The sequence below is a fragment of the Homo sapiens genome, chromosome 13 (assembly GCF_000001405.40).
Source record: "Homo sapiens chromosome 13, GRCh38.p14 Primary Assembly".
Lineage (NCBI taxonomy): Eukaryota > Metazoa > Chordata > Mammalia > Primates > Hominidae > Homo > Homo sapiens.
The window spans coordinates 87,019,202-87,038,558 of record NC_000013.11 but is presented as its reverse complement, the minus strand read 5'-3'; the positions used below and the strand labels follow the sequence as shown (position 1 = coordinate 87,038,558).

Genomic DNA, 19,357 nt, shown 5'->3' with positions numbered 1-19,357 from the left:
ATTGTTCTGAAAAAGGCACTATTTTATGATGACCAGGCAATGTTAGAACTTTATACAAAAGAAAAAACTAATACAGTTAGTTACTTTTAAGCCATAATCTAGGTGATTATAAATTATATTTTGTTATATCTTGAGGTCTGTGCCAAACATATATCAAAATACAAAAGGAATAAACTCAGAAATCAAACTTGAATGAAATGCCCAGATAATCGAAGGTAATGGCAAATTTTGGAAAGGTATTCCCTAAAATACACAAAAGGGAGTCAAAAGTAAATTCTATTGAGTATAATATTCTAAAAAGCTGGACTAATTATGTGCTTTACACAAATTTGATGTTTGAATGAAGGTAAAATTCACTATAGAATCATGAGACTGTTGGAATGTAAGTAACATTTGCATGGGTGATAACAAAAACTATATTTTATATGAGAAAACAAATCTAGGAGGATTTTAGAGTTGGAGCGTATGAGAAACAATAACAGAGTAATTGCAAGTCATAATAGACCAAATATCAGTTGAGATACATGTTAGACTGATAAGTGAAAATTACTTCTTATTCAAAAATACACTACTCTAGGTGAAAATGACCAAGTTTTCTTAGAATGTTAATTATAGTTACAATAACACATAAGACTAATTATATAATTTCTAGAGCCTAAGGTGGGGCTCCTTCTTTTAAAATCATTAAGAAATTTAAGAAGCATTAAATGAAGTGTAAAGTCTCTTCAGCTTGGGACCTTATGAAACTGCAGAGGTTGCATGCTAATGAAACCTCGTCAGGAAATAGGAATCATTGTCGTGAAAATGTGCCTATCAGATATCTGACTGCAGGAAACATAATTGAGCATTGGACACAGTTGCTGTGCCCCGAAGTCCATTACAGCACACTCAGCACGGTCATACTTTCAATAGGATCCTCTCAGCAAGGACTGAGTGTCCCTGTTAGGGTTAGTGAAGATATCTCATTCCTGGGAGATATAACACACGTTATCAGCTGAAAAATCCAGAGGTCTTCATAAAGTTGGAAAGGAGAATTATTTCTTTTCTATTTATTTCTTGTAAAGCATCACAATCTTCAAGATTGCCCTTCCGACAGGCTGGGAATATTAGCCTCCAGCAGAGGAGATTAGCAGGCACTTCAAGGGAGAGGAGAGTGAAACAGGGATTTATGCTGAATGGGTTGGCCACGTATACATATTCAGTAGGTTAAGGGGGATTTCTGATTATTTATAAAAGTGGTTCTAACACATGCATACCAAATAACCATGCATGTTACATATAACTCATGTTCACTGAGTCGTATGTAACATATGAAAATTTTTTTTTTTTAAGACGGAGTCTCACTGTCACCCAGGCTGGAGGGTAGTGGCTTGATCTCGGCCCACTGCAAGCTCCGCCTCCCAGGTTCAAGCCATTCTCCTGCCTCACCCTCCCGAGTAGCTAGCTGAGACCACAGGCGCGTGCCACCACTCCCGGGTAATTTCTGTATTTTTAGTAGAGACGGGGATTCACAGTGTTGCCCAGGCTGATCTCGAATTCCTGAGCTCAAGCAATCCCGCCCAGCTCGGCCTCCCAAAAGTGCTGGGATTACAGGCGTGAGCCACGGCGCCCGGCCATGAAAACATTTGAAGGCATCGCAATTAGATCCTACATGTCAAAAGGTGAAGCAGGGACAGGAAGGCACGGTAATGTGCAGCCCTGTGAAACTGGCCAGAAACAGTTCATGGTTAGTGGCCTCTTCTAAGGAGAGTTATAGAAATCAGTCTCTTGTCCAATCCAAGCTGTAGTTATGGTTTGTGGAACAAAGGGTCAGATAGTCAGTGACTGGTAATGAGCTTCAGTTGTTTGAATTTTGTTTTATCTCAAGGCTAGTGCTTGTTTAGCTGCCAGAGAAAAAGAAAAGCCTTGTGGTAATTAGAGCATAGTTTGTTCTTTAAGCGTACGGGGTGTATGGCTTAACCCTTGCTTGGCATGACCTCAGGTCCTGTTTATAATTTGATATCTTATTGCCGCAGATGGTTTGTTCCGTTAGTCTTATGACCTCTATTGTAACATTAATGCTGGTCAGTTGTTGCATCTAAACAAAAAAGGTAGGGGCTGTAACAAGATGTGTCAGGCTTCCCATCCCATCCTGGCTGGGAACTCAATTTTTTTTTTTTTTTTTTTTTTTTTTTTGAGACGTAGTCTCGCTCTGTCACCCAGGCTGTGGCGCGATCTCGGCTCACTGCAAGCTCTGCCTCCCGGGTTCATGCCATTCTCCTGCCTCAGCCTCCCGAGTAGCTGGGACTACAGGCGCCCGCCACCACGCCAGGCTAATTTTTTTATTTTTTATTTTTGTAGAGACAAGGCTTCACCGTGTTAGCCAGGATGGTCTCAATCTCCTGACCTCATGATCTGCCAGCCTCAGCCTCCCAACATGCTGGGATTACAGGCGTGAGGCACCGCGCCCGGCCCGGAACTCAAGTTTTAAGGTTTCTTTAGGGTCCCCTTGGCCAAGAGTGGATCCATTCAGTTGGTTGGGGGACTTAGGATTTTATTTAGTTTTCAGTTTAGTTTACAACAGATGACTTAGGCTTGAAAACTTATCACTGTTCTTGCTATATCTTTGTTGGTACTGTACCACTGTCGATAAGATTTCTTTTTTTTCTATCCGACGTTTCTCACTGAGTCAGCCCTGCCTCATGGTGTGATGACTTTCCTGAACTTTTTAGGCTCCCACCCATTCTCTCTTGCCTAATAAATCTCTTGCACGTTTAATGCTATTTTCTTTGCTTCTTGGAGGACTCAAACTAAAGCATGTGGTTCCAGCAGTGATCTGAAGCAAAGAGGCTGCATTCTGAAATCGCTTACTCATCACATGGTTAGCCGACATGATGATATCCAGAGTTGTATGTATGGCATATATAGTGTGGCAGTGGAGGTTTACTAAATACTTCACTGAGGTGCCCTGGGAAATGTTACACATGCGAGAGTTACGCTTGCAGGGGCAATGCTCCAGGTACTAGAAAATTATGGACCATAGCATTGATGGCTGGTTATTTCTGACATTCTGCAGAGGGATGAGAGACTTAAGGTGATTAATATCAGATAAATTTTGAGAGTCAAAGTGCCTATGTTGCAGCTTATGAGTAGTACTTTATCTCCTGTAGTTGTAAGATAAACATAGCTGAGCAGAAAATAAAGTATCAAGTATTTAGAGGTACAGAATTAGTGAGTATTTAAATACTCATGACTGACATATTACAGTCAACCATGGGAGTATCACAGATACTGAATATCGAGGCTGCTTGATTAAGGATGTGAGCTGACAGAAATAGGTAATTATTTTTATATTTACATGAAGTGTGTAATTATGTCCTGTCTCCCAGTAGACCAAAGAAGACAGAGGCTGATGGAAATGTGCATGCTGGCATTCCTCATATCCTTGGGAAGTGGTGTGTTCTTTTTGTCTTCCCAGTGGAACACAATCTTCTGGCTATTTTCCTCACCTCGCTGCCAGAGAATTGCATTTTAGGAATGTGTTGGTGTAGCAATGCCAGCATTGCTACAGGAAGCCAAGCAATGTCTCTTCATTGCCGGCTAGGTAAAACATTAGGAGTAGTGATTACAGTGCTGAGTTCATCAACATCCATGTGACCCCACACTAATAGAGGCCAGTTGACAGTACTTAATTACCAGGAGCCAGAAGGCTGCAATTACTGTAATACATAACAAATTTGGAAGGGCAGGCAAGGAGACTGCCAGCTGGGAATTGTGTCGATGGTTAATAGATAATGGTATCCCTTGGGATCTTCAACAATGATGCACATGTAGGTGTGAGAGTGGTTACCTCAACCAAAATGCCACATTCTCAGTTCCCAGACCTTAATTAGTTTTCACTTGTGAAATCCATTGACTGAAGAGGAGTCTGAATGCTTAGTAGGAAGTATTCTGCAACTGCATGGTAAGCTTATCCACACTTATTCCCCCAGTTCTTCTCCAAAAGAACCTATGGCCATTTAGTCAGTTGACTGTACGATGAGGAAAGGAGAATGAGTAGAAATTTTGAAAACTGTTGAACACAAAGTTCTGATATGACATGAATACCCAGACACCCATGTATCACCATGAGCTTCCTGTGAGAGTGGGGGTTTATGAGGAACAAGTAATAAATGACACCATGCTTTACAGTGGGTTACAGATCCACTGATAATATTCCCCCTACCTATCGTCTATAAGTAGGATTTATAGACATGATAATTGGAATAATTTCTACATTGCATCCCTGCATGTGCAGTGAGAGCTAACTTAATGGGAATATGCAGTCAAAATCTCTGAAATTGCCAACTCCCATCTCTCAACTCCACAAAGCAATACTTTGTTAGAAAAATCAATGTATTGGCCTGTAGCAAATAGAGAGGAAGATACTCTGATCCAGCAAAACGTGGCAGAGGTAGACTAAGGATAAATTGAGAATTAAGTTAAAAATATCTTTAACAGCTGTGTCTACTTCAAAGGATTAGAGGAACAACAGAGGAAAATTAAACATTAAAGAAAGATTAAAAGGATATGTTCTTGCTATAGTGAAGGAGGTAGCAAATTTGGAATGTTTTTGCAGTCACTGATGTAGTGCAAGTTATTTAAGTCCTTGGAAGCTGAAATGCTGAAGGAAGGCGATGCTTTGGGGAGGACCACCTGGCTAAGTACATGTAGTTTCTTACTGGGTGCATAAGGTTACAAAAATTGGACACATCAAGGAAGCAGCTTCAGTTCAGAAATCTGTTGATGATGATTCTCCAGCTGGTAGAAATGTTCGAACAAGAGGGGAGCCTTTTCAAAAGCCTCAATTTATGGACTAAATAATTCAGGAGGAAAAAGAAAGAAGGAGAATGAAGAAAGACACCCGGTAGAATGCATTCCAAAAATTTCTTAAGCTTCTCCAGAGACTCAAGCAATGCAGACAGAATAGCATGAAATGGGAATCAGATAAAAGCTGGGATGTTAACGGTGACCTGTCCTAAATTTGGAGTGCCCTGGTCAAAATAGAAAATTTATTCTGTCCCTGGAAGAGCTCATCTCTGCATTGTAATTCCTGCATGAAATTGTTAGAGAAGGAAATGGAAATTAAATGATTTCAAATATTCAGAAGGTCAATTAACGGGGAGAAGTTGCCATTAAAGAAGTCATTGCAGAAAATACAGGCATAGGAAAGGATCATAATTAATTTCCTGGTGGATGATTTCTGTTATCTGATTTTCAATTTTTTTCATAAGCTCTAGTCAGCTTGCATGGACAGATTAGATTTAGTATGAAACTAAGATGATTTTGTTTTCTAAAATAGAATAATAAATATTAGAGAATGATATTCTTTGAAGCAATCATTTTCTTCATCGACTTGAAATATAAGAGTGCAGAGCTAGAGGTTTGATATCCCTCTGTCCTTTGGAATTAGGCAAATGTGAGGTGCTTGAGAAGTACAGTTTAGATAAATTTTATAAACTGACTTTAGGTATTCTTATAAAGGGTCAGCTATTACAAAGAATAAAGTCCAAAATGAAGCTATATGGATGGAAAGCGTAACTAACCTGGGGTTCAGACAAATACTGGAGACACGTATTGCTTTCCTTGCCCAGCAGCTTTCCTTCAAAGACACATTGATTTTGCATGTGCAATTACGAATTATGTAATAATTACCACTTTTTAAATTCTTATCACCTTGACTGATCTATTGATTGATCTAGGGATTTTGATTTCACCAAAGTTACACTAAACAATTTTCCAAAACTAATAGTGGGGCTCCATGTTTCTCTGGGTAGAAGCATGCTCAGTTTTTACCACTGGCATTGTTTCCTGGCATGTGTTGGAAACTTGCTTGGGAGAAAGAAGCCAATAAGGAATGGGAAATACTGACAAAAGATGAAGTGAAAGAGATTTCACGGTGAAGCACCTAGAATTTGATGCTGAGGATAATCTATCCTCTTGCTTTTGCTAGAGTTATGTGAGTTTTCCAATAAGTAATATTTGGCCAATGATACTTTGACTTGGGATTTCCTACAGAGCTTCTATTAAAGAAAAAAAAAACAGAAGATGATTACATTTAGAAATGTTGACTTTCATAAAAATTTTTAATAATTTTTTCGACAGTAACTTATAATTTAAAAATAGGTATTACTTGATATTGGGTAGGAAATGGCAAAATTAATACTTCAGTGATTTTGCTAGTGTTGACATCATTTTCTTTGAGATATACCAACAGTTATTTCAGTAGATAAACACCTCATAAGGGAAGGGGGTTTATCTGTTTTGTTTTCTACTTATCTTCAATATCTAACTCAAAAATAACTCAATACATATTTTTTGAATTCTTAAATGTACTATGCATTTTACTAAAATGACTAAGAGTTACGACGGATAATGCAGTTGATCTAGGAATAGGAGAAAAGCTCAGCTTAAAATAGTGCATAGCGGCTAGGCGAGTTGGCTCACCCCATAATCCCAGAACTTTGGGAGGCTGAGGCGGGCGGAACACCTGAGGTCAGGAGGTCGAGACAAGCCTGGTCAACACGGTGAAATCCCGCCTCTACTAAAAATACAAAAATTAGTTGGGCATGGTGACGGGTGCCTGTAATCCTAGCTTCTTGGGAGGCTGAGGCACGAGAATCACTTGAACCTGGGAGGCGGAGGTTGCAGTGAACTGAGATCACGGCTTTGCACTCCAACCTGGGCAACAGAGTGAGACTCCATCTAAAAATATATATATAATAAAAATAATGCAGCTGGGCACAGTGGCTCACACCTGTAATCCGGCACTTTGGGAGGCTGAGGTGGCGGATTACCTGAGGTCGGGAGTTCGAGACCAGCCTGACCAACATGGAGAAATCCCATCTCCACTAAAAATACAAAATTAGCTGGGTGTGGTGGCACATGCGTGTAATTCCAACTACTCGGGAGGCTGAGGCAGGAGAATCAGTTAAACCCAGGAGACAGAGGTTGAGTCGAGTCGAGCTTGCGCCATTGCACTCCAGCCTGGGCAACAAGAGCGAAATTCTGTCTAATAATAATAATAATAATGCATAGCATTAACATTGACTTTATTAATGTCCTCTTATGATTCTTTTAAGAAGCTTCTGGATCTAATAGCAAATGAACATTTTCTAAAAGGTAGAGCTGCCTATTTTACTGGTCATATTAAAGATAGAATTGGTTGAAGTTTTCACATAGAAACATCAGACTTTCCCTGACTTACAGCAATTCTTCTCTGCTGAGGAGGACATAGTGAACAATACCTTTGTTGATATTCTTAAGTAATTTGATAAAATGAATTTGATAAGCACATGCTATCTGCAATGAAGGTAAAGTGATTTTGAAGTCAGGTAAGGACTGGCTCATTCTCTGCCTTTTTTAGGCAATGAGAGATACTGTATTAATATACAGTGTTTGCTTAACATACAAACACTAATTATCTTTTTTACTTTAAAAATATATAATTGTTTGAAATCAATTATTAAGACAGCATATAGTTGAATAATTGTTTATCCCTTTTGGCAATTTCTATCTTTTTATTGGTGTATTTAGGTCATTTACATTTATATCATTTACATTATTCCAATCATTGAAACATTTGGAATTACTTCTATAATTTCCTTATTTGTTTTCCTTTGTTCCCTCTGATTTACATTGTGTTTCCTTTGGGTCATTTGAACATTTTTTAGTAATGCATTTTAAGATATATAATTTTGATTTTATCTCAATACCAGTTTCTTTTAGTAGTTGCTTTGGAGATTGCAACATATGTACTCAAATTTCACACTCTGTGTGCAACCAACATTTACCATATCAGTCCCTGTATATCTAATTAGTTTTATAATATATTTCATCTACATCCAGTGAAAATCAAGTTAGGCAGTGCTATAATTTTTGCTTTCAATCATCAAGTGTGTTATAAAAACTCAAAAGGTAAATTAGTATATCTGCCCATGTTAGTTGTTCTTACTTCACTGCAAAGGCTCCAAGTCTCTCACTGGCATTATTTCCATTCAGTCTGAATAATTTATTTTAATAGCAATCCTTTTATAGCAGATTTGCAGATAATAAGTTTTCTCACATTTTCTTCGTCTGAAAATGTCTTTATTTCATATTCATTTCTAAATTATATATCCAATAGAACTAGAATTTTCTTTCACCACTTTAAAAATAGTATGTCCCTTTTTCTTTATTATTAATATTTTTATTAGGACTCTGATGTCCTACAAATTTTTGCTCCCTTGCAGGTTATGTGTCATTTTGCTCTGGCTACATTCAGAATTTTTTCTTTTTCTTAGTCTGGCACAGTTTTGTTATTATGTAGTTAATCATGGCATTATTTGAATTAATGTTATTTAAGATTCTCTGACTTTCTTGAATTTATAGATTTAAGTTTTTTGCCAAATCTAGGAAACTTTCAGCCATTAATCTTGTAAATATTTTCAGCACCACCTTCTTTCTCCTTTCCTTCTGGAACTCCTATTACATAAATATTTATCATGGTGTTAATTTCTTACAGGTCCCTGAGGATTGCTTCTTCTTTTTTGCACCTTCTCCATCTCTGTTGTTCAGATTGGATAATGTCTGTCGATTTAACTTGACGTTCAATGTCTCTTCTGTCATTTTCATCCTGCTGTTAAGCTCATCTAGTGCATTTTTCAGTAAGTCTGTTTTATGTTGTGTCCGTTAACATTTCCACTTAATTCTCCTTTATATGTTTCATTTATTTTTTGAGGTTTTCTGTTTCATTTTGTTTTGCTTCTGCTCAAGAGTGAGCCTAGGAGTTCATGGAAAACTTTAGAGGGTCACTTTCCCACCCACTGATGCCTTGTAATCTTCCTAGAGCTTTCTGGTTCTCTGGGGCTCTTCTTTCTGCTTCTTTATCTAGAAAGTTTGGCTTTACTTACCAGAATCTCTGGCACACTTCGATGACTATACCTATCTCAATCTTTAAGTTTTAGAAGGGGAGAGAGAGAGAAAGAGAGAGAGAGAGAAAGAGAGAGAGAGAGAGAGATAGAGAAAGAGAGAGAGAGGTCTAAGAGCAATAGTGGTTTGTTCCAGCCTCTTGGGACCACTGCCTTACCACTAAGAAAGGAATATTCACCTATAAGAGTTCCAACTCTTGTAATACGTTGTTGTAATCTCCGTGAATCCCTCCACTCTGTGATCCTGAGTTCACTTTTCAGCTCCTTGAATCAGACAAAAGCTTTTCGTGGTGTTCTCTTCCTTTGAACATGAATTCTCACTTTTGTGTAAACCACAAATATGTCTGCGTAGTGTCCTGGCCCTGAAAACAGGGACAAATTGTTGGTAACTTACCACTAGTTCAGTGTCGACTTGAATTCTTCCTCAACTAGTCTACTTTTCACAGTCCTGGGATAGTAGCTTCATACAGGCTCAGCAGGTTCAATGTTTGTGTTCTGTGTTCTGTGGGAGAAATTAGGTAAAATATGCTTACTTCATCTTACTGGGAACCAGGACACAAACATTCTTGTATTGTGATCAGAATATGTATGCATTTTATATGTTGCATTGAAGAAAAAATTAGATGATAAAATCATTTTGATAAAACATTGCTAATGCTCACCCTTTCACCATCTCCAATTGATAATATAGATTATTTAGTTTGATAATTTTTTGCTTCTTATCATACGGACTGTGCAATTTCACAGAGCTAGTAAATGATTATGATTAATTAATTTCAAAGGCGTGGTCATAATAACATATCTAACACTTGAACTTGGATACCTTCCACATTCTACTATCCCATCCACATTCTACTATTCCATGCACATTCTACTATTCCATCCACATTCTACTATCAAGACTTTTTCTTCATCATTGATTTTTTAAAATTCTTAACATTTAAAAATGCTATCTCATTCATGGAAACACCTATAGGTCTCTTCTATGAGTTATTAAGAAAATCTGTCATCAGTTTAAAATAACCCTTGATTTAAATAGAATGTTAAGTTAAAAAAAATACAACAGTGTACTTCTGTCTTTTACAGCTGTAAACTTTATGTCTTTTGAACGGAAAAAAATGTTGGCATCTCCCCCAAAAAAACTCCAATCATCATATCACGTATTTCCCATGACTATATGTATGAAAGAACAGGCATTGTTTCTTTTTCGTAATATATACATTATCTCAGCCTCATATCCATGCAAACACCACACAAAGAACCAGAACTAATGGTTTAAAAAATAAATTTCTAACAGAATATGTAAAACCTGGTACTTCAAATTTTCTAGTAATTTTGAAGCTCTATAAGCATACATTTACAGTAAAGTCCTCTATTATATCTTTAGGTTTTATCTAGAAAGAGCTAAGTTTATCTATGCCATGTATTTGTAAAGAATATATATATAGGTTATACAAGTTTCCCTATAATTTATACATTAATGTATGTGTCCATTGTAATAAAAATAGATTTTATGGGTCTGCTAACAAAATTATATTTGAAAGTACATTTCCATTTTATTTTGACAAAATTAACATAATTTCAACTAATTATTTTCTTATATTATTTGTGGTATAGTTAATTTCTTTTACATAATTTTAAATAACTGTTGTTATTTACAATAAATCTGAATATTTCATCTTATCAAATGCATCAATTTTAAGAACAAACCCATGCTTTTAGTATAGATGGTATGATGAGTAACTCAAATTTAGTATCATAACAAGCAAATTCACACTGAGCTACTTTTGCGTAACTGTATACATTTTTCCTCATTAATGTATCTTCCTGTTATTAAAACTCTATTACTTTGGAATTTGAAAATGAGTCTGAAATAAAACAGTGAAGGTTGTATTTAGCATTGTTACTTTTCTGACATCAGAATGATCGGGATGACCTATTAGGATTTTTCTTTACTTCTTTTTAAAAATATTGCTTGGGGCCATTGAGATGGCTTTAAATTTATCCTGCTGAGAGGCTAAGCAGAAAGGATTAATGTGGGGTATGTTCTTGCATTTATAAGAGCTAAAGTAGGTTGTTGAGAAGCAGAACACCACAAATCTGAAGGTACATTTAGCAATGACTTTAACAGATTATCACCCAATTTTGAGAAGGAGGGGAAAAAATATGTCCTCCAGCAATTTTATTCATTCATATATAATTGGAAAGCTATGATATAGACATGTAAGCTGATTTCTCAAGAGTAATTATTTAGATTCTCCATTTTCAAAAGAACTAGTTGCAGGAGCAGTTGTATTTTTTTGCCTCATCATCTAAACATCTATTAAATCTTCTTCCATTAAAATTTGATCTTTTGTGGGAACTGCTGTGAACAAAAATGCAACAAAGAGGCTTTTCCTCAGGTTCTTTTGCCTTACTTCACTTTTGTAAATGAGAAATACTTAAATGTGCCAGAGAATCAAAATTTCCTGCAGGGCAATTTTAGCTTTAGCTGCAGCAGCAGAAAGAATTGCCTTTTTAAAGCCTATCCTTTGTTTCTCTGGGATGAGTTTTTATTATACTTCATGATAGATACCTCGTTTTTAAAAAGTATGTATATATGAGTTAGACACTGACTATAAAGTACCTAAAGGTTGAATATTGCTACTCTTTCCGATTTTTGTATTCTACTTAATTAAACCATAATTATAAAAGATTTTATATTTCTTCTTAATTTTTATTTGTTTCCAAGTTAAGTTTAGTTATTGTGAATAAAACAATGCAATCACTTTCAATTTATATTTCCAGAGACTTTCATTTTTTAAATCTTTAGTACACTGAGCTAGTGGAATTTTTTTCTAATAGGATTTTCAGTTTGGTTAGGGTCAAGACTAGGATATTGTCATACATATTTAACTTTTTCAAATAACATTTTGTAGAGGATAAAATAATACACAGCTGCATATTAAATAATTTTGATTTGTTATATATAATATATAATATATATTTTATATATTTATATATATATATATGCTTCTCAGTTATCCTCTGTGTTTCTTTTAGTTGCTGGAATTTATGGGGAGAGATCCATGTATTTAAACTACTATTCCATGGTGGATTGAATAAATGCCCAGATAATTAAATGTCATTTAAAAATTTTAAATACTCAGTAAGGCTTTTAAGAAAATTTGAATAAAATTATGTAAAAGTTTTTCTTCTAGGTACAAAAAGATGTTGAGAAATTGAGCTCCTCAGTGAGAGTAGCCAGGATAAGTAGAAATCGGAAAGCATTAAAATACCAAAAATAAAGTTGGTTTATTAAAAAGTAGGAAATTATTGGTTTTTAAACTCTCTTCTAATATTATAAAACTGATATACTAAAGATGCCTTAAGACATCTTAGGGAAGAATTGAAAGCAGGCAAGTGAAAGTGGCTAAAAGAGAAATCTTGGGTCAATATTAGAAAGTATTTTCTAACGACTAGTCATTTCCCTTCTGATGTGCAATACATAACAATCAGGGACATTGTAAAGGGGTTTCAGCATTAGAAGAGAAATCATATTAAAGTCATCTCTGAGGACATCTGAAACTAACAATCTATGAGTTCAAAGTGTCCATTCTACTTTTAATTAGCCTCAGCACATTTACTTCATTTTGTTTTTAGTTCAAAGAAGATAATGGAAATAAAATCACAACTGTATGTCATCCTTTTATATCAGAAGAAAAATAGTTTTAATTAGGTTTAGTAATTTTAAAAAGTCAAAAGTTTAAAGGGAGTGAATGTCATCATTTTCCTGTGAAAATTATCCATTCATATCATTGTTGCTTACCAATCAAATAGACATAATTATAATAAATATTATGTGGACAATCATAAGCAGATAAAAAATTGTCTGTTTTGTGGTGTTTAATTAGTAGTCCAAATGGCTTTTAGAAATTGAATTCTGTTAGAATACCACCTAATATGTTAATTTATTACATTGTATTATGATAGTGATTTATCATGTTATAATAACAGAAAAATGTAAAGAAAAATGTGAGGAACTATTTTATTCAGCTGTAAAATACAGAACAAATGGTATGAATATAATAATTAATCAGAGGATTCATTGTTATCAAGGATGTGTATAAATGCGCTACTTGCTACATTTCTGGTGAGTGTTTAAATTTCTAGAGTTGATTGAAGGGCAATTTGAGGAAGCATATTACTTTAAGATGTTAATAGCTTTTTACTTCAGAGTTCCAAATATAGGATTTTATCTGAGGAAATTGATCATAGCAATACATGTGGTAGTTGCTATTGCAAGACTGTTTATAGTGTTGAGTATAAATGACATATACTAAAAACTACTACTATAAATTGATGATGTCTAAACATACATTAACTGGCTTAAAACTCACAACAACCGTATACTTTAGCTACAAATGGCATTTGCATTTAACAGGTGCTGAAATAGAGGCACAAAGAGGTAACATAACTTGCCCAGCATAATAAAGGCTAAAAGCAGAAAAGTGAAGATTTATATCAAGAAAAATGATTTAAATTGATTCCAATACCTAGCTCTTAGTATTCTTATAATATTGTCTAAGTGACAAAAGCATATTAATTTAATAATGGGATACTCTGCACCCATAAATCGTAATTTTGCTTGTAACATTTAATACTGAGAAAAATAGCATGTTAGAAAGATTTTATATCCTAAAATAGATTTAAGAATCTTAATGTTTTAAGTCAGTTAATCCTCTAAATACCCCTATAAATTAGACAATATTTACATCTCATATTTATAGGTAATAAAACTGAGACAGAGAGATGAATTAACTTATAAAAATTTACTTAGCTAGTTAAGTGAAGGTAGGTTTCAATCTAAGCACATCTGGTAATGCAGAACTATTGATGACAGACTATGTTTTCTTTTGTCTGCAATTATATTATTTCACATTAATTTGCCATGAATATGTATATTGAGAATAGTTTTTAAATATTTGGATTAGCATGTATTTGAAATTATTTGACCGATTTCATGTTTTCCAAATCATTGCTTTTGTTTTAGATACAGATCTTACTGATGATCCTTTAAGATGACATGTCTTTTTCCCCTCAAGATACTTTGAAAAATTGCTTTTCCTTTTTCATTTTCAGTGGTTTCAGTATGATTCCAATCATGTTTTTCCTTGTATTTCTCCCACTTTGAGTTCACTTAGCTTCTTGAATTTATGTGTTGCTACCTTTGATAATTTTTTAATATATTTTCTTTTCTGCTTTATTTGTTCTTTCTCCTCTCTTTCTGGAACTCCGTTGACTCATGTTTTAGACTCGTACTGTGTTCTGAATGTGTCACAGATATTTTCTTTTTCTATTTTTCCAGTTTAAATATTTTGTAATCACCTGCTTTCAAGTAAACTAGTAATATTTTGAAGTCCTCATTCTACTGTTAATCCTATACAAAGGGTTCTTACTTAAAAATATTTTCTTAAGCATTTGTATCATGTAGAAGTGATTGATTTTATTGATGTCACTTTTCTTCATCATTTTATCTATTTTTCTAGCATTTTTACTAATACCTTTGTATTTATATTATTATGATGATTATTTTAAATTTTTTATTTACTAACCCCAATGTCTATGTTATCTGTAGGTTTGATTCCAATGTTTATTAATTTCTATTCATTACCAGTATTATTATCCTATGTCTTGTCACATGTAATTTTTTTTTTTTTTTTTTTTTTTTTTTGAGACGGAGTCTCGCTCTGTCGCCCAGGCCGGACTGCGGACTGCAGTGGCGCAATCTCGGCTCACTGCAAGCTCCGCTTCCCGGGTTCACGCCATTCTCCTGCCTCAGCCTCCCGAGTAGCTGGGACTACAGGCGCCCGCCACCGCGCCCGGCTAATTTTTTGTATTTTTAGTAGAGACGGGGTTTCACCTTGTTAGCCAGGATGGTCTCGATCTCCTGACCTCATGATCCACCCGCCTCGGCCTCCCAAAGTGCTGGGATTACAGGCGTGAGCCACCGCGCCCGGCCACATTTAATTTTTTAATAGTATTCTAGGCAAGATACAGAAAGGAAAAGAAGGAGTTCTAAGTGATACCTTTTAGAGGATCATTTTTATTTTCCACCGGGAGACAGAGAGTGGTTGATCACCTCAATTCAGTCAGGGATCTAGTCGGGTCTGGAAACTTTTGCAATTTTTGAAAGAATCACTTCTCCTTTGGTTGTTTCTGTTCTATGTGCATACTCCTAACAGTCCTAACAGATTTGTATTTGAGGATCTGACTGTTTTCTGTCTTCTCAAATGGAGAACTGTGGGAGTTTGTTATTTGGAAGTTTCAAGTTTTGCAGTTTGTCTTCCTTCCCCATGCAATATCCAGTCACAGCAAATGTCTTAGATAGAAAACAGCATTTGGGTTTGAGAGAGGCTCCTCTCTTTAGATCAGACTATTTCTTCCAAATATTCCAAGACTATAAGAAATGATATTTTCCTTCCAGAAACTCTTCACCTCCTATTTAGAAAAAAAAAATTAGCTAATGAACCATGGAATAAAATCAATCAGGCATTTTTGACTCCAGAACTTTCAAAATTATTGTTGCAGAGCTCTGCAAACATGCAAATCTTTGCTAGATTTTCTTTCCTCAGCAGGCTACCTATTTATAGGCGAAGTTCAATCAGCCCATGCCCAGAATCAGCAAATACAGCCTCTGAAGAAATACCAGTGATAAACTGCTTACCTTGTAAAGGCTGTCCCTCTGTAATTTCAGTTTATTAAATCTGATTTTCTTACAAAGTATTCTTACTTCTTTAAAAACTATATATTTTTATGTATCTCAGTTTTTTTCCTTCCTTTGATTGGTGCAAGAAAAGAATAGCCAGCTGCCATTTTTACCTCAGTCAGAAGTGAGTGTACTTTATTAGGGTTTATTTTTCTATAATTATATTCTTAATTTCTAAAAAAAATTATATGCTCTTTTTAAAATCTGCTTATTTCAATAATTTCCTCATTCCTCTAGATATTCTATATTGTATTTTTAAATTTAAACTTTGTAGGAATAGTTATTTTATACTATACCCAATGTCAAATCAAGCAGAACAGTTTTTCCCTACATTTTCTGCTGATTTTCACAAATCATGCCTTGTTTCTTTTTGTGCTTATTTACTTATTTTTCTTTAAGCTGTTTATGCTATTTTGAAAATATTTGTGTGTTTACTCTGAGGAATAGTGTAAAGCAATATTCCTCTAAAAACTATTTCTTACTTGGCTATTATCACTTTAAATATTTTCATTTTATTTATTATTTGTTTATTTATTCATTTTCTAATTTCAATAGCTTTATAGGTACAAATTGTTTGTGGTTACATAGTTGAATTGTATAGTGATGAGGTCTGGGCTTTAAGAGAACATGTCACTGGAATAGTGTGTACTGTGCCAGATCACTTTCAATATTTTCATCTGCTGATGTTTTCGAACATCCAAGTAAGGCAAATTATGTATATAAAGACCTATGAATGTCAGCTTGGCTTTAAAATTTATCTAAGAATAAACTGCTCCACTTTACAAAATGCCAAATTGACTTTTTTTTTAATTTTTGCGGTTCTTTAAGACAAGGCTGTATCCCTTAGGAATTGTAATAATATGAGCAAGAATCTTACTAAACTTGCCATGTGTACTGGCATAAAGTGTTGTCTCCACTTCCACAAAATTTGAATCTATGAAAACCAGTGTTTACATTTTTCTTATATAACAAATTTCTCAGGGGAAAAGCAGTGCTGATAACTGCTTTACTTTACTGCATTTGGCATGATATATCCTTACAACCTTATTAGCTCATGAATGAATTAAAATCGATAGATAGATGATAGATATATAGATATCAATAATCAAATATTTTAGGAGTTTCATAAATCTAGATTCATTTTCAGCCATAATATCAGAAATTATGCCTCTTTCCATTCACTTGTCCATCTACTTCATTCCCCTTTATTGACCTTACACTTATCCAGTTCATCAATGATCACAACTTGTCCAAATCCAGTGGGCACTTTGTGATATCATTTTACTGGCTTAGCGGCACATTTGAATATATTCTACCATTCTGTCTCACTTGAATAATTTGTCTTTGTTTTCATGCATCTTCAGGGTTTGGTTTCTCTCTTCACTTATCTTTGTTTTTCTGTTTTTTTGTTTGTTTGTTTTTTCGTTTGTTTTTTCGTTTGTTTGTTTTTTCTTCCTCTGTATTTTTTCTCTTGGTCTCCTTGCTAATCCTTCCACCTATTAAAGTCTGGGAAACTTCAGGAATGGATTTGGTTTGATAACACTTTAAATCTGTGTCCGAATTTCTCTGCAGAGGTCACTGTATCCAAACCCATAGCATGTAGGATCTATGCTGATAAGCTTCAAAATTGTTTCCAGAGCCTCAAACTCTTCCCTGTGCTATGGACTCGTACAATAAAATATCTACATAAAATTACATTCATTTAGGCCGGGTGCGGTGGCTCATGCCTGTAATTCCATCACTTTGGGAGGCCAAGGCAGGTGGCTCACCTGAGGTCAGGAGTTTGAGGCCAGCCTGGCCAACATGATGAAACCCCGTCTCTACTAAAAATACAAAATATTAGCCAGGCATGGTGGGGGGCACCTGTAATCCCAGCTACTTAGGAGGCTGAGGCAGGAGAATCACGTGAGCCTGAGAGGTGAAGTTTGCAGTGAGCCAAGATCACGCCATTGCACTCCAGCCTGGGTGATAAGAGCAAAACTCTGTCTCAAGAAAACAAAATTTATATATATATATATTTAGATTCATTATATATATATTTAGATTCATTATATATATATTTAGATTTATTATATATATTTATATATTTTTAGATTCATTATATATATTTACATATATATTTAGATTCATTATATATATATATTCATTCATTTAATACATATATTGTAACACTTATTCTGTTCTATATCATCAGGATATAACATTAAAGCATTAAACAGAATAGACAAATTAACTAGCCCCATGAAGCTTTCATTCTGCTAAAGAAGCTGGAACATAGTTAGATCAATGTGTTAAAAATCAGTTGATGATTACTGCTAAGGTGAAAACCAAAGTGCAAAAAGAGATATAAAATGTGAAGGTTGCAATTTTCACTTTGATTTCTAAGAGATATCTATCTCTGAATTGATATGTCACTAGATTTTTACTATACCAAACCAGTTCCTTTCCATATAAATTTCAATAATGTAAATAGCATCCAACAACTGCATCAGTCAAAAAGTGGAAACTGTCTTATGTTCCTTATGTCAAATATCCAAACCATCAATAAACCATCAAAGTTCTAAATCCAAAATATTTTATTTTATTTTATTTTTATTTTTATTTTTGAGACAGAATCTCGCTCTTGTCTCCCAGCTGGGGTGGTCTCGGCACACTGCAACCTCCGTCACCTGGGTTCAAGCGATTCTCTTGCCTCAGCCTCCTGAGTAGCTGGGATTACAGGTGCACGCCACCACACCCGGCTAATTTTTGTATTTTTAGTAGAGACATCGTTTTTTGCCATGCTAGTCAGGCTGGTCTTGAACTCCTGACCTCATGATCTGCCCTTGTCAGCCACCCAAAGTGCTGGGAATATAGGTGTGAGCCGCTGCACTCAGCTAAATATTTTAATTTTTTTTTAAATTCAACTTTTATTTTAGATTTTGGGGATACATGTTCAGGTTTGTTACATGGGTATATTGTGTGATGCTGAGATTTTGGATACAAATGATTCCATCACCCATATAGTAGGCATAATACCCAAAAGTTAGTTTTTCCACCATTTCCCCTGTTTATTTCAAGCAAGTTCCCAGTGTCTTGCCATTATTGCCATCTTTATGTCCATGAGTACCCCATGTTCAGTTCCCAGGTATAAGTGAGAACATGTGGTATTTGGTTTCCTGTCCCTGCATTTTCATTTGACAATGAATGGCCTCCAGATGCATCCCTCCTGCCACAAAAGACATGATTTCATTCTGTTTTATGGCTGCATAGTATTTAATCATGTATATGTACCATATTTTATCCAATCCACCATTGCTGGGCACCTATTTTTGTCTGTATTGATGATGCATTTTTCTAATTCAAATTCAGTACCCACCTAATTAGTAGACTCTTCTTGACTTTTATCTGGTAATAATTAATATTCTAAATATTTTATGCAATACTCAGAGTCTTTTGAATTAGGTAGCAACAAACTCAGCTTAACATTTTAATGACTTTGTATTTGTATAGCATACCACAAAGCAAATCACAGCCAATTTTCTACCCTGTGATGGTTTCTAACTAGCTCTGCAGAATTATTTCTTTCTAATGATCTCCTTACTCGCTTCCACTTTCCTGAAATTTTATTTTTTTCTTGATGAAATGCTCGTAGTTCTGGCCTGCTAGTGCTATTTCTCTGTATTAAAAGTTATTCTTTTGG

General features: G+C 35.0%; 1 long non-coding RNA gene across 2 annotated transcripts in view; it reads right to left on the bottom strand.

Annotated features, from left to right (window-relative positions):
* Positions 1–19,357, bottom strand: part of LOC105370301 (uncharacterized) — a 66,794-nt gene that overhangs the window by 12,621 nt on the left and 34,816 nt on the right. For both annotated transcript variants that reach the window (XR_931624.1, XR_931623.2), the window contains exon 2: positions 9,322–9,429. This is a non-coding gene — a long non-coding RNA (uncharacterized LOC105370301). The remainder of the gene's footprint in view (positions 1–9,321; positions 9,430–19,357) is intronic.